At 35.6% G+C, this 16,529-nt stretch overlaps 1 protein-coding gene across 5 annotated transcripts in view; it reads left to right on the top strand.

Annotated features, from left to right (window-relative positions):
* The window catches only part of KIF3A (kinesin family member 3A), a 48,735-nt gene that overhangs the window by 11,809 nt on the left and 20,397 nt on the right, over positions 1–16,529 (top strand). For all 5 annotated transcript variants that reach the window (XM_017008996.3, XM_006714526.5, NM_007054.7 and 2 more), the window contains exons 5-9: positions 5,024–5,129; positions 8,754–8,893; positions 9,296–9,493; positions 9,807–9,981; positions 14,681–14,779. In XM_017008996.3, coding sequence (XP_016864485.1) covers positions 5,024–5,129; positions 8,754–8,893; positions 9,296–9,493; positions 9,807–9,981; positions 14,681–14,779 — 718 coding nt within the window. The remainder of the gene's footprint in view (positions 1–5,023; positions 5,130–8,753; positions 8,894–9,295; positions 9,494–9,806; positions 9,982–14,680; positions 14,780–16,529) is intronic.

Raw genomic sequence — 16,529 nt, 5'->3', positions numbered from 1 at the left:
CAGCATTACTGAGCTCTTGCAATGTGATATAGGCATTCAGTGCAGTAATTGATGGTTGTTGGTAGTAGTAAATAATTTATTTCATTTAATCTTCCCAGCAGTTCGATTTTACTGATGTGGGAACTGAAATTTAGAGGGGTTTCTTGACTTGCTCAAGGTCATATAGCAAGTGAATGGCAGTATCATCTAGGATTAAGAAGGTGGTTCTAGCAGTCTACCATCTTAGCTTGAATTCTGGCTCTGATCTTGAGCAAGTTACTTAATCTCTGTGAGTCTTGATTTGGTCATAAAAATGGAAATAATAATGGTATCCACTTCGTAGGATTATTACCAATACTAACAGATGAAAGTGTTTAAATCAATGCCTGACATAATAAATATTAGCTTTTTTTTCTTTTTAAGTTTACTGCATAAACTGAGTTTTTGGAGCAGTGTATTACAGTGTTAAGGATTGTTTGTGCTTGTTGGACCTCATGAAGCCTTATTCTCTGATACCATTTATATAGCAAATATAGAAACAAATTTCTTTGTTGCTGGTTTTCAACTTTAGTTCTGATTAATTCTGTGCTTTCATGTCCTAAAAAATTTGTTGTGTTATGCAAATTCTAGGAAAAAATCATTTGGAAAGAACATTTCCATTTTTGTACCAGTAATTATAGATCAGATTTATTCTCAGGAACATTCTTGTCAATGGTTCTCAACTCTGTTAGACCCAGTGCTCCTTTTTTTTTTATTTTAGGAAAGTTTTTTTTATTGTTGTTATAGTTTTTAGGATTTCTTATGTTCCATTGCTTTAATTTTAATTTAGGGGATTCCTGTTATGCCAGGGAGTTTTGAACCTCCATTGAAGATTGTAATCCCTTTCTTAGAATGATTTTTTAATATATATATATATATATATATATATATATATATATATATATATATATATTTTTTTTTTTTTTTATTATACTTTAAGTTCTAGGGTACATGTGCACGACGTGCAGGTTTGTTACATATGTATACATGTGCCATGTTGGTGTGCTGCACCCATTAACTCGTCATTTACATTAGGTATATCTCCTAATGCTATCCCTCCCCACTCCTCCCACCCCACAACAGGCCCCGGTGTGTGATGTTCTCCTTCCTGTGTCCAAGTGTTCTCATTGTTCAGTTCTCACCTATAAGTGAGAACATGTGGTGTTTGGTTTTTTGTCCTTGTGATAGTTTGCTGAGAATGCTGGTTTCCAGCTTCATCCATGTCCCTACAAAGGACATGAACTCATCATTTTTTATGGCTGCATAGTATTCCATGGTGTATATGTGCCACATTTTCTTAATCCAGTCTATCATTGTTGGACATTTGGGTTGGTTCCAAGTCTTTGCTATTGTGAGTAGTGCCACAGTAAATGTGTGCATGTGTCTTTATAGCAGCATGATTTATATTCCTTTGGATATATACCCAGTAATGGGATGGCTGGGTCAAATGGTATTTCTAGTTCTAGATCCCTGAGGAATCGCCACACTGACTTCCACAATGGTTGAACTAGTTTACACTCCCACCAATGGTGTAAAAGTGTTCCTGTTTCTCCACATCCTCTCCAACACCTGTTTCCTGACTTTTTAATGATCGCCATTCTAATTGGTGTGAGATGATATCTCATTGTGGTTTTGATTTGCATTTCTCTGATGACCAGTGATGATGAGCATTTTTTCATGTGTCTGTTGGCTGCATAAATGTCTTCTTTTGAGAAGTGTCTGTTCATATCCTTCACCCACTTTTTGATGGGGTTGTTTGTTTTTTTCTTGTAAATTTGTTTGAGTTCTTTGTAGATTCTGGATATTAGCCTTTTGTCAGATGAGTAGATTGCAAAAATGTTCTCCCATTCTGTAGGTTGCCTGTTCACTCTGATGGTAGTTTCTTTTGCTGTGCAGAAGCTCTTTAGTTTAATTAGATCCCATTTGTCAATTTTGGCTTTTGTTGCCATTGCTTTTGGTGTTTTAGACATGAAGTTCTTGCCATTCCTATGTCCTGAATGGTATTGCCTAGGTTTTCTTCTAGGGTTTTCATGGTTTTAGGTCTAACATTTAAGTCTTTAATCCATCTTGAATTAATTTTTGTATAAGGTGTAAGGAAGGAATCCAGTTTCAGCTTTCTACATATGGCTAGCCAGTTTTCCCAGCACCATTTGTTAAATAGGGAATCCTTTCCCCATTTCTTGTTTTTGTCAGGTTTGTCAAAGATCAGATAGTTGTAAATGTGTGGCATTATTTCTGAGAGCTCTGTTCTGTTGCATTGATCTATATCTCTGTTTTGGTACCAGTACCATGCTGTTTTGGTTACTGTAGCCTTGTAGTATAGTTTGAAGTCAGGTAGTGTGATGCCTCCAGCTTTGTTGTTTTGGCTTAGAATTGACTTGGCAATGCGGGCTCTTTTTTGGTTCCATATGAACTTTAAAGTAGTTTTTTCCAATTCTGTGACGAAAGTCATTGGTAGCTTGATGGGGATGGTATTGAATCTATAAATTACCTTGGGCAGTATGGCCATTTTCACGATATTGATTCTTCCTATCCGTGAGCATGGAATGTTCTTCCATTTGTTTGTGTCCTCTTTTATTTCATTGAGCAGTGGTTTGTAGTTCTCCTTGAAGAGGTCCTTCACATCCCAACTCCTTTCTAAATAACATACGTTTTTGTCCTGAAATAAAACTCATATGTGACATTAATAAAATCTACCTATACACATACTTTTTAAAAAATTCGTATACTACCCTACTGTAATATAAAGGAGAATACAAGTAATTAAATATAAATGCTAGTATTTAGATATGTAAACACTTAGATATGACCACACTTAATGACATAATAAAATAGAGGCATATAGAATCATCAAAATTGTAACAGCTACAAATGCAGTGTCAACAGGTATGTTGTATTGTTGATCTAAACCCCTTGATTGGTGTTATTGCCAATGACATGGTCTTTTACAATAGTGACTAGCTCTTGGTAGAGTTTGGAGCGAAATAAAGCACAATTCTTCCCTCAGTTTTTCTGTGTTCTCATATTATTGCTATATGGAAAAGCACTTTGTCTTTATATGTGAAATAAAGTTACATATGACAGACTCAGATATAATTATCTGGGTCTAGACTCAGATAATTATAAGTAGTTTTTTTACCATGTGAATATCTGGTAGGACATTCAAAATTCTGTGGGACAGTTCTTCATTGGGTGAGACTGTCCCACTTATTTCAGGATGTTTAGTATTCCTGGTCCCTGCCTGTCAATAACTACAGTGTCCTCAAGTGAACCAGAAACTCTTGCGCAAATTTCTAAAATATTCTAGGACAAGAGGGTAACTGCTTCCATTGAGATCCATTGTTATAAACTGTGTTTGTCATAGATATTGAATTCCTGTGTTTTTTTTGATAAAAATTCTTTGGTAGCATTTCCATCCAGTTTTTTAACTTTCACACATTTGGAATTATATTTTCTTTCTTCATCTTTCATATCTAGTCAGTTATTAGTTGAATACACTTATTAATTGAATTTTGAATTAATAGCATATTGTGATTGGAAGACCACTAGTTTGCAGACAGATGTCAGTTTGAAGAATGTCCATTTTCAGTCTGCGGTGAGAATGAACACAAAAACTGAGAGTAGGTGCTTAAAAACTTCCATAGCAATTTGACATTGCCAAGGCATCCAAGTGCATGATTTTTGTATTTTACAAAATTATCATATTACAAATATGTACATCCTTTATCAGAGATTTTTTGAGAAGCATTGATATAGACCAGTAATTTTCAAACCTTTTAAAAGGTGTAAAGCATTTCAACACTTTCATCAAACCAAACCTTATGTGGAAGCTCAATGTGTAAAATTCATGAAAGCGCCCTTCTCTTTAGAACTTCTCTGGGCCTGAAGACCCCTAAACTCCTACAGTGGCCGCCTCAGTGCCACCATGGACCCTCTAGGGCTTTTCAGAGCAAGGTCTGAAATCCACTGGCTTATAGAGATCATCATACTTTTTTTTTTTTTACTACTAATAGAATTAGGGCTTAATTTATATCCCATGACAGATAAAGGATTTTTCCTAATTTGTAAATTTATCTTATCAATTGTTATAAAAGGCGCATGCACACACACACAACATTGAAAATCAACGACTGGAATGTTGAGTGTCTACCTTTATAACGTTTTCCCCTGGAATTGTTTATCAGATTTTCATTTGTCTTCGATGTCTATGAGGTCTTCCTACCCGTGGAATGGCTTTTCCCACTGGCAACCACAGGCCTCTGCCTCAGTTTCACTTTTTATTCTTTTGGTTTGTAGAGATGACTCTGAGCCTTCCAAAGTGAATTTTGTTTATACAGTGCCACTTGTATTTTAGGTAAATCCATCCTAAATACATTTTTCAAATTTGGTTAAAATTTCTCATAAGGTAATTCACAGAAAGATCATATTTTAACATTGATACTATAGATCTGATTATTTCCCTCAGTTGCTTGAAATTCTCCAAATTATTCTTACCATAAAGACCAAAAACTATTCTAAACTTGTCTCTGTCTTCCTATATAACCAGATATCTCACCTATTTTTCCCTGTTTCCTGCTCTCTCCAGCCACATTGTCTTTTTCGGTTTGTTAATTTTTTGTAAGTGCCTAGTTTTTTCTTATTTCAGGATTCTTGCACATTTTCTTCTTCTCCTACCTCAACTGACTAACTGCCTCCTTTTTATTTAAAGAAATTTTAGCTTAAACATCATCTTGGGGAATTTTATCCTATCTCCTTCACTAGCTTAGTAGTGTTCTGTACTTTTTCTGTATTTTTCTTCATGTCATCACAATTGAAATAAAATAATTTTTATGTGTAATTCTTCATTTGTATGTTCTTCCTATAGACATCTCCATGCGTGTAGGAACAGTGTCTATCTTATCAGTATATTCCCTCTGTCTAGTAGAGTGTCCAACACATAGGAGATACTCAATAAATAATTGTGGAAGAGTTATTGATATAGTATAAAGTCTTAATTTTTTTTTAGGTTAAAGAAAGACCTGATGTGGGAGTTTATATCAAAGATTTATCAGCTTATGTGGTAAATAATGCTGATGATATGGATAGAATTATGACGCTAGGCCACAAAAATCGTAAGTATAGTGTGTAATTGTGATTAAGCATCTGTGTGTTGAGTAGGCTGGTTTAGAAGCAAATTTGGTATGGCACTTTACCCTGTAGAGACTGGATTTTTTAGGTTTCTTGAAAACCATTCCACTTTGATTATTTACCATGTAGAGAGCATAGATGAATGAAAGATACCACAAATCATTTTCCATGCCGAGCAAAATTTTGTTTCTTTTTAGTAGCGCCAATCTATGCAACTCTCATACGGCTGTCTCTTGGTAGCTATAATAGTAAAATTGGTAATGTTTATTGAGCTCTTAGTGGAGAGTGCTTGTGCTAAGTGCTTCATAAAGATGCTCTCTTAGTCCTCACAGGAGACTATGAAGACATTAAATTCTTACTTTATGAATGAAGAAAGTGAGACTTAGTTTAAGTAACTTGTCTAAGTACTATAACTACTAAGTGGTAGAGTGAGTGATCACACCTAAGCCATAGCCACGCACAGTGGCTCATGCCTGTAATCCCAGCAACTCGGGAGGCTGAACTGGGAGGATCATTTGAGGCCAGGAGTTTGAGACCAGCCTGGACAATAGGGAGCCCCTGTCCTAAAGAAACCCACCTGGAAGAAACCCAAAAAACCTAGGCCAGTAGTCTGCATTAACTAGGCACTGTAATGCTTCCCTTTTGTTGACAAGAAAAGCAAAACAAAATTTAAATTAAAAAATTGTATTCTTTTTAGTAATTGTGTCACATTTTTAGTCTAAAGAGTAGGAAGCTTCAGCGATATTATACAGATGCCTCAAACCTAGTACTGGTGATGCAGCTAATAGCAATTAGAAATTAGAGGTGAAAAGTCTGGTCGCGGTGGCTCACACCTGTAATCCCAGCACTTTGGGAGGCTGAGGTGGGTGGATCACTTGTTTGAGACCAGCCTGGCCAACATGGTGAAACCCCGTCTCTACTAAAAATACAAAAATTAGCTGGGAGTGGTGGTGGGTGCCTGTAATCCCAGTTACTCGGGAGGCTGTGGCAGGAGAATCGTTTTAACCAGGAAGGCAGAAGTTGCAGTGAGCCGAGATCGCGCCACTGCACTCCAACTTGGGCAACACAGCAACCAAAAAAAAAAGAAAAAAAGAGGGATTAGAGGTAAAAGATGAGAAATAGGAAATGAAAAATTTTTATAAGTTTCTGTGACTTGACGATAGATATATCAAACCCAAGGAAATCAAACAACAAAACTTCAAAAATCAATTACATTCTTATGAACCAATTAATAGAAAAAGACCAAATCTTAATAGAAAAATTAGCAAAAAATATGTATGTTATTCGTAGAAGAACTAAGCACAGCAATAAGTATGTGAAAGGCTGTTTAACTTCACAACTAATCAGGAAAATGCTAAAACAAGATAGAGAGAGATGTTTCACCCATCAGATTAGATGAAGGATATGTAGGTTGGTGAGACTTTGAAGAAATGGGCACTGAGGATGGAATATAAATTGGTGCAGCCTATTTGAAGGGCATTGTTAACAGTATCTGTTGACATTTTAAAATACATTCCTTTTGACTCTGTGTTTCTAATTTTAGACATTCTGGAAAATATTTTTAGATGTAACAATCTAAATAACCTTCAATAAAACCCTGATTATGTAAATGATGACACAAAAATACCATAGACTGTAATAAAGCTGTTAAAAACAATGAGTTAGGCTGGGTGTGGTGGCTCATGCCTGTAATCCCAACACTCTGGGAGGCCAAGGTGGGCAGATTTCCTGAACTCAGGAGTTAGAGACCAGCCTGTGCAACATGGCGAAACCCCATCTCAACTAAAAATACAAAAAAATCAGCCAGACGTGGTGGCTTACGCCTATAATCCCAGCTACTTGGGATGCTGAGGCAGCAGAATTGCTTGAACCTGGGAGGCAGAGGTTGCAGTGAGCCAAGATAGCACCACTGAACTCCAGCCTGGGCAATAGAGGAAGACTCTGTCTCAAAAACAAAACAAAACAACAACAAAAAAAACAACAAGCTGAGTGTGGTGGCTCATGCATATAATCCCAGCACTCTGGGTGGCTGAGGCGGATGGATCACTTGAGGCCAGGAGTTTGAGACCAGCCTGGCCAACCTGGTGAAACCTCGTCTCTGCTAAAAATACAAAAATTAGCTGGGCGTGGTGGTGCGCACCTGTGATCTCAGCTACTCAGGAGGTTGAGGCCGGAGGATCACTTGAACCTGGGAGGTGGAGGTTGCAGTGAGCCGAGATTGTGCCACTGCCCTCCAGCCTGGGTGACAGAGGGAGACCCTGTCTCAAACAAAACAACAAAAAAACCCAGTCAGGTAAATGTGCCTACACAGAGCTGGAAGATTTTCAAAGTATGTTTGTCAGTGGGGGGATAAAAGCAAATTGTAGAACAGTATGTATGTACTGCCTTACCCCATTTATTTATATGTGAAAAATTGTTAAACCATATATTTATTTGGGCAGTGTGTGTGTGTTTGTGTCTACACGTATGTATATAAAATACAGAATGAAAGGACAGATTGTAGTGGTTACCTTTAGAGAAGGAGAAATAAAATTGGGGAAAAGGAATGTCAGGAGCTTTCACTTTATGCTTTCTGTATGCTTTTATTAAAAAAACAAATACCAGAAATATGTTAATTATTGGTTATTTAATTAAAAATTTTAACACAAGATTTCATTCATAGAATGAAATTAATTTAATTCTCAGGTAGTTAATTGGAGCTTTTGGTCACTTCATTAAAGATTACCCTTTTAATGTTTCAATTATAAAATCAAAGCTTGCACAGAAAAATGCTGCATGAATGTATAGTAGGAAGATAATTTTGGCATTGAGTAAAATTAACTTTAAAATACTTTGGAATTTAAGAAAAAAACTAATACAGGTCTATTGTAAAAAAATGTTTTTTGTTTACACAATATATTCATATATTTACACATATGCAAATACTTTGCATATTTTGAATGGATTTTTTTTTTTTACAGAAGTAGGATTATGTTATGTATTTCTTTCTAACTTGCTTTTATTTTTAATTTATATGTTATGGACATTTTTCCACGTTTTTAGATCTACCTTATTTTTTTTAATGCTGCACTGAATATTGTTGTATTGTCTAACATATGTGTGCAAGTATTCCTGTGGTTTATATGTTCAAGCTGGAGTGCAGTGGCGCAATCTCAGCTCACTGCAACCTCCACCTCTCGGATTCAAGTGATTCTTGTGCCTCAGCCTCCCAAGTAGCTAAAATTCTCTTTATTATTATTGTTTTTTACTTCCTGCAGTACACCAGCATGCATACTTCTCTTTAGATAGCTAAATCAGCAATAATTTTTCCAATTAATGTGGTTTTTTGGTGTAAATTAGTTATTTTTTAGGCAGTATTACTAGGGATTGAAATTATTTTTTGCTAAAGTTATGTCTTTAATATGAGAAACCTTACAAATTTGTTATCAACAAAGTATAAGAGAAATTTCATGTAGTGGCTAAGTACACACCCATGCCTTTATGGTTTAGCCATGCTCTCTGGCTTTTGATTGTGATAAAATTAAGTGTTTTAAACTGTTCAGGATGTTTAATTATTTTTAAAGGCACTCTCTGTTACACTTTTAAAGGATTTCGTTTATTTATTAAAGGTTCTGTTGGTGCAACTAATATGAACGAACATAGTTCCCGTTCCCATGCCATCTTTACAATTACTATAGAATGCAGTGAAAAAGGCATTGATGGTAACATGCATGTCAGGATGGGGAAGCTCCATCTTGTAGATCTTGCTGTAAGTAACAGGACACTGCTTAAGGAATAACTCTTTCTTGTGATCCATTTATTTTATAAATGAATGAAAATTAAAGTGAAAAGGTATGATTTACATATGATTTTTAAGGTGTTACTTGTGTATGTTTATTATTTATTATGGAACATTTCAAATGTATATGAAAGTAGATAGAATAGTATAGTGATCCCCCATACACTGATCACCCAACTCCCAACAATCAGCTCATGGCTAATCTTGTTTCATGTACTCTCCCCCACTTCTTCCTTTCCTATATTATTTTGAAGTGAATTCAGGCATCATATCAGGTTTTTTACTGTTACATTACTTTTTAATAAAACCTTGGGAAGAATATTCTATTTTTAAAAAAATTTTAGCTTTACTTTCATCTCTGTTTATTGCTAGGGTTCAGAAAGACAGGCAAAAACTGGAGCTACTGGACAGCGCCTAAAGGAAGCTACAAAAATCAATCTTTCACTTTCCACCCTTGGTAATGTAATTTCTGCCTTGGTTGATGGAAAAAGCACTCATGTGCCTTATCGTAACTCTAAACTGACTCGTCTTCTTCAGGATTCCTTAGGAGGAAATTCAAAAACCATGATGGTAAGACTTAATTGGTGATATAGTTAACATCAGGCAAATTTAAGATTGTAATTTATGCCAATAATTGATACGTATCACATTTTTTAAACTTGATTATTTTACTTTTTTTGACTTGTGGTTGTCCTTTTTGTGGTACACTCGTGTATTAGCCCATAATAGTGTCCTTTGGAAACTCATGTGGTTGACACTCTCATTTTCGAGAAGGCCAAGGGTGCATATGTGCTTTAAATGTTTTTGATGTATTTGTAATGGTAGTATTAATTTTAACTCTGTCAAGTGTAAAATGATTTGTTTCATATTTCTAATTCAATAGTGTGCAAATATTGGGCCAGCAGATTACAATTATGATGAAACTATCAGTACATTACGGTATGCCAATCGTGCTAAGAATATTAAAAATAAAGCTAGAATTAATGAAGATCCAAAGGATGCTTTGCTGCGTCAGTTCCAGAAAGAAATAGAAGAACTGAAAAAGAAGCTTGAAGAAGGTAGCTTTTCCTCAAAATATTAATCTTTATGTTGGCTAAAAATACATTGTTGAACCACTAACTGTTCTAACAAAAGCCCTCTATTAAACCTTTTTTGAGCCTCTAACATTGGTAGTTAAATGAATATTTCTAGAAAGTGACTTGGTACTTACATACTTTCGCATTTTCATATTAAGCTTAAGTAAAATTACATAATATTTGTGTATGTGGTTTTTTAAAAACATTTGCATGATGTTTTGTAGATTTCATATGACCACTTTTTAAGGAATGAATGTTTATTTGTCTCTGTATAAGAGCAAATTCTGCAATGTATGTATTTAGGTGAAAATGACCAGAATTCTGGCATTGCAATCAATATCAACTAACTATTGTTTGAAGTAAAGCAAGATATTAGACAGTCATGAGTAAACCAAGTTTGCTATAAGGAAAAATGCATTGCATGACCTTTAAAATATCCTTTCATACCTAAATTTGAACATGAGATTGTATTTTGGAAATTCTTTTCTAACAATATCATGCTAGAAAGTTGGAAAATTTGAAGATCTTATTTATGAGAGTGAGACGCTTCCCAGTCATTAAGTGCTGAGTGAGTCCTTGCACCTTAATGCGAGAAACAGATCCTTTCTGATTGGTACAGAGCTCCTTCGCGAACCACGTAAACAGGGCTTTGGTTTCAAAGCACCTTTGTAGTCTGTGAGAAGACTGACTAGATCAGAGGTGAAATTCAGAGACGCCAGCATCACAAATGTTTAGAGAGGGTACTTATTTAGTAAACAAGTAGTTATTGAGGAAAAGCAGTAAGAGAACTGTTAGATAATGAAATTTGGTGTTTTAAATGTGACCACTAGGTGGTATTTATAGCCAGTATGTTTTAAAGATTTTTAATTTCTTAGCGATGTTAACGGTGAGTGCATACTTTTATTTTGCTGACTTTATGTTTTACATTTTTTTGTTGTGGTAAAATATACATGACATAAAATTTATCATTGTAACCATTGTTAGTTAAGTGTACAGTTAGTGGCATCAAGTATATTCGCATTGTTGTGCAACTGTCACCACTATTCATTTCTAGAAATTTTTCATCATCCCAAACAGAAATGCTGTGCCCATTTAAGTAGTAACTTCCTATTCTTTTCTCCCCCAGTCTCTGGTAACCACTATTCTACTTTCGGTCTCTATGAATTTGACTATTCTAGGTACCTCATATAAGTAAAATCATGGAGTATCTACTTGTGACTGGCTTATTTCACTTAACAGAACGTTGAAGGTTCATCCATATTGTAGCAAGTGCCTGAATTTTATTCCTTTTTAAAAAATTGTGGTTAAACTTGCATAACATAAAGTTTACCATTTTAATCACATTTAAGTCTACATTTCTGTGGCATTACATTCACATTGTTCTGCAGTTATCCGTCTTCAGTTTTCTTCTTGCAAAATTGAAACTTTGTACTCATTAAAAACAGTATGTACCCATTCCTCCCTTCCCCTAGTTCCTGGCCAACAACCATTCTGCTTTGTCTATGAATTTGACTGCTCTGGGTATCTTACGAAAGCGGAATTGGTGGGGCGCAGTGGCTCACGCTTGTAATCCCAGCACTTTGTGAGGCCGAGGCGGGTGGATCAGTTGAGGTCAGGAGTTCGAGACCAGCCTGGCCAACACGGTGAAACCCCATCTTTACTGAAAATACAAAAATTAGCTGGGCATGGTGGCTCTCGCCTGTAATCCCAGCTACTTGGGAGGCTGAGGCAGGAGGATCACTTGAACCTGGAAGGTGGAGGTGGCAATGAGCCGAGATTATGCCACTGCACTCCAGCCTGGGTGGCAGAGTGAGACTCCCATCTCAAAAAAAAAAAAAAAAAAAAAAAAGAAAGTGAAATACAGCATTTGTCTTTTTGTGACTGGCTTATTTCATTTAGTATAATGCCTTCAAGGGTCATCCGTGTTGTAGAATGTATCAGGACTTCTTTTTAATTCTGAATAACATTCCATTGTGTATATACTACATTTTGTTATCCATTCATCCACCAATGGACAGTTGGTTCTTTCCACCTTTTGGCTATTGTGAATAATGCTGCTATGAACGTGGGTATACTAATACCTGTTTGAATTCTTGTTTTACCATTTTTGGGGTATGTACCCAGCAATGGAATTGCTGGATTCTATGATAATACTGTTGTTAATACATTTCAGTTCATTTTTGCTCTTATGACATTTCTTTTTATAATCTAGTTAATGGAGTTGATCATATCAACAATAAAAAAGTAGGCAATAGCATTAAAATAATAATTTTTAAACTTAAAAATTATTGTAGGCTATATGCAACTTGCAAACATGATATGGAGAGTTCCTATCTACCCTTCACCCAGCTTCACCTCATGTTAACATTTTTTATAAGCATACAACAGTTATTGAAACCAGGAGATTTACATTGATATAGTCTTATTAACTAATCTGTGGACTTTATTCAAATTTGGCCAGTTTTCCTTCCAGTGCCTCTTTTTCCTGGTCCAGGATACAATCCAGGATCACACACTGCATTTATTTGTCATGCTTTCTTTGTTTTGTTGTTGTTGTTGTTGTTGTTGTTTGTTTTTTGTTTTGAGACAGAGTCTCGCTCTGTTGCCAGGCTGGAATTCAGTGGCACAGTCTCAGCTTACTGCAACCTCTGCCTCCCTGTTCAAGCGATTCTCCTGCCTCAACCTCCTGAGTAGCTGGGACTACAGGCACATGCCACCTCGCCCAGCTAATTTTCGTATTTTTAGTAGAGACAGGGTTTCACCATGTTTGCCAGGATGGTCTTTATCCTCTGACCTCGTGATCTGCCTGCCTCGGCATCTCAAAGTGCTGGGACTACAGGCGTGAGCCACCATGCCCGGCCATGTCATGCCTTTTTAATGACGATGTCTAGCACACTTGTTCTTCAGTCTAATTCCCCAGTCTTTCTTGATCTTGACATTTTTGAAGAGTACTGGTCATATATTTGTTGAATGTTCATTAATTTGGGTTTGTCTACTTTTCTTTTATAATGACCCTGCAAAGTTTCTCCACTGCAAATCTATTGTTTTATGTTTCCATTCGTAATTAACATGTATCTTGTGGGGGATACTTTGAGACTGCAAAGGTCCTGTTTCTTGTCATACTTTCTTCTACTATTTTTAGTATTCATCAATAGTTCTTGTCTGCAACAATAATCCTGTGGCATTTGCTCAATGTTATTTTCTATTCTCATCATTTCTTCCTTGTTTAGTGTTTAGGATTCTATTGTATGGAAGAACAGCCCCTTCATTCCCATTTGTTTATTTATTCAAGTATTTATCTTATTTAGATCATGGATTATAATCCAGTGTTATCATTATTTATTTTGTTCATTGAATTGTTCCAGCTTTGGCTATTATGAGATCCTTCAGAGTAGTTCCTGTATTCTTTCAGCATGTGCTCATCAGTTTTTTTGAGCATTTGATTACTTTTTGGCACTACAAAAGGTTTTAGGTTTATCTTGTGTCTTCCTTGCCCAATCTTAGAATCATTCACTTCTCTCTGGTCCCTTCTGTAGGAGAATGGTATTTAGAAACCCAGTTTTGGGCACTAGCTGTGCTCATTACTACCAAGATGTCATTGTTTCTAAGCCCGAAGAAAAAAATATTTTTCAGAAATTTCTTCTCCCAAGACTCTGTGTTCCTTTCCATCTTGTACTTACAGGTACAATTATTACCTGGTTGTGATTAGAGTATATTTTACTTTTTTCTCCTCTATTTTATTTTGTTAGACATTTCATATGTAAACAGTGGCATTTAAAAATAGCTAATTTGAAGATGATATAGTGCTGATCTGTTTTATTGGCTTCATCATTCCTTTTTTGTTTTTTATCTTTAAGTTAATGTGTAGTTAACACTGTCTTTGTACAAATAAGCACTTCTTTTTTTGAAAATATCTTGTGATACAGTCCTAAAAGTGGGATCATTGTTACATGACAGTTCTGTGTCTCTTAAAAATACAGATTGAATGAATTATTTGAAATCTTAAACAGGAAGCTGTTTTAGAAGAAATTGTTCCTCAAAAGTGATCACATTTTTAAAAGACTGAATTAGTAACTCTACCACATAATTTATATATATATTTAAAATTATACATAAAGAAATGATTTGAATATTTTTATTTTTTTTTTTGAGACAGAGTCACTCTGTTGTTGAGGCTGGAGTACAGTGGTGCCATCTCGGCTCACTGCAACCTCTGCCTCCTGGGTTCAAGTGATTCTCCTGCCTCAGCCTCCCAAGTAGCTGGGATTACAGGTGCATGCCACCAAGCCCAGCTAATTTTTGTATTTTTAGTAGAGATGGGGTTTTGCCATGTTGGCCAGGCTGGTCTCAAACTCTTGGCCTCAAGTGATCTGCCTGCCTCAGCCTCTTAAAGTGCTGGGATTACAGGCGTGCGCCACCTTGCCTAGCCAGAATGGTTTGAAATTTTAAGTGGGTCAGAATTTAACTTCTCTTTAGAGACTTTAAAAATAAAGTCTTTTTGGATATCTCATCTGTGTCTGAGATTGGCATATCTGTTATACTTTCTAGGAGCATTTAAATAGTATTTAAATTTGTTGTTTGCAGTAACAAAAATCTGAGGAAGAAAGCTGATATAGGTATTTCCTAAATAGCTAATGACTTCGTACAGGATAAAAAACATTGTATTAAATTTCTGTCCAAGGAGAAGAAATATCAGGCTCTGATATCAGTGGGTCAGAGGAAGATGATGATGAAGAGGGTGAGGTTGGAGAAGATGGAGAGAAAAGGAAAAAAAGAAGGGGTAAGTTCTGTTTAGTAATCTGATTTGTAGAAATTAGGTGGTTTCACAAGGTGGTAGAGTGCATGACTTTTATTTTGCCGTTATCTGTTTAATATATTAGATAACAATTAGAACAGAAGATGTATGCCATTTACCTGGTTAACTTTGCATTTTTTCTCCTGTATTGATCCGTTTATAGCTGACTTTGAATATATGTTCTGTTTTTTTAGAATTTAGAATTGTAAGACTCTATAATACTGGGTATGCCATTTTAAAATTTCCTGTGTGTTTTAATTTTATGTAGGGACTTACATCTGTGTTAGGAACCTAAGTTTTTTTGTTTGTTTGTTTGTTTGTTTGTTTTGAGACGGAGTCTCATTCTGTCGCCCAGGCTGGAGTGCAGTGGCGCGATCTCGGCTCACTGCAACCTCCACCTCCCAGGTTGAAGCGATTCTCCTGCCTCAGCCTCCCGAGTAGCTGGGACTATAGGCAAATGCCACCTCGCCCGGCTAATTTTTTGTATTTTTAGTAGAGACGGGGTTTCACCCTGTTAGCCAGGCTGGTCTTGATCTCCTGACCTCATGATCCATCTGCCTCGGCCTCCCAAAGTGCTGGGACTACAGGCGTGAGCCACCATGCCTGGCTGGAACCTAAGTATTTTAAGGAAATTAGGATAATGTGGAGTTTTTCCACAAACAAGATTAGTCTTTAAAAGTCATTGAATTTTTAAATAGTAAATTTGTATGAGGAATTCCATTTTTAAATTTAGTTCTTTTTCTTTATAAAATGTATTCTCATTCTCACTCTGTTGTGGGGGATTTGTTGCCACGTGTGAATTAAGACTGTTTATTATGATCAGAATATAGATAATATGCAAATGAAATGGACATATTATAATGGCCTACATTTCAAACCTTTTTACCATAAATATTTATTTCAGAACTCTCTTCCATTAATGTGGTCATTGTTTTCAAGCTGGTGCATATTTTGTTTGTCTTATTAAAATGATTGTGCTAAAAATAAACCCATCACTGCTTGATTAGGAGTCCCAAATTTAAAAACTATAAAGATTTTGTAACTTCAAAAGACAGAAAAATAATGATTTATGGCAAAAATTGGCAAAATGTCTGCTGGCTAAATCCAGCTCACCACCTGTTTTTGTAAATAAAATTTTATTAAAACAGCCATGCTCATTTATTTACATATGCTCTATGGCTGCTTTCACATGAAGCCGTATGGCCTGCAAAGTCTCAAACACTTATCTGTCCTTTTGCAGAAAACGTTTGCCTGATTTAGAGAAATTTTTTTTGTTCACACCTAGTTTTTCACAGAGTAGATTATTATTTTCAAAGCTAAAGCTGATAACAGATTTGTTAAAAATAAAATTTTAAATAGAAAAATGCCAGTAATATGTTAAAATATTTAACAATAATGTATCTTCCTTCCAGGCTTAGAAATTTAAAAATTTTCAGTGAGCCTTTTGAAAGTTTTGCTATCAAACCTTAAACATATTTGATAGTTTGATATTTTGGGGGAGGGAGAGACTGAAAGTGGAGATAGACTAACCTATTATGAAGGGTAATTTATCACTCCTATAATATTTATTGTGTATGACTTTGAGTTTTAAAACTCCATTCCTTTAACTTATCAACCTAAATAGTTTCAGTAGACTAAAATCTCACCAAATGACTTCTTTATTTTTTATTCTTGTCATTTCAACCCTTTGAATGATTAGGCTTTAGGTGACCAGTAGGATCTGCCCACAGTAGTT

This window comes from Homo sapiens, chromosome 5 (genome assembly GCF_000001405.40).
Source record: "Homo sapiens chromosome 5, GRCh38.p14 Primary Assembly".
Lineage (NCBI taxonomy): Eukaryota > Metazoa > Chordata > Mammalia > Primates > Hominidae > Homo > Homo sapiens.
Note: the sequence above shows the minus strand (reverse complement) of the source record. Positions and strands in the feature narration are given on the sequence as shown.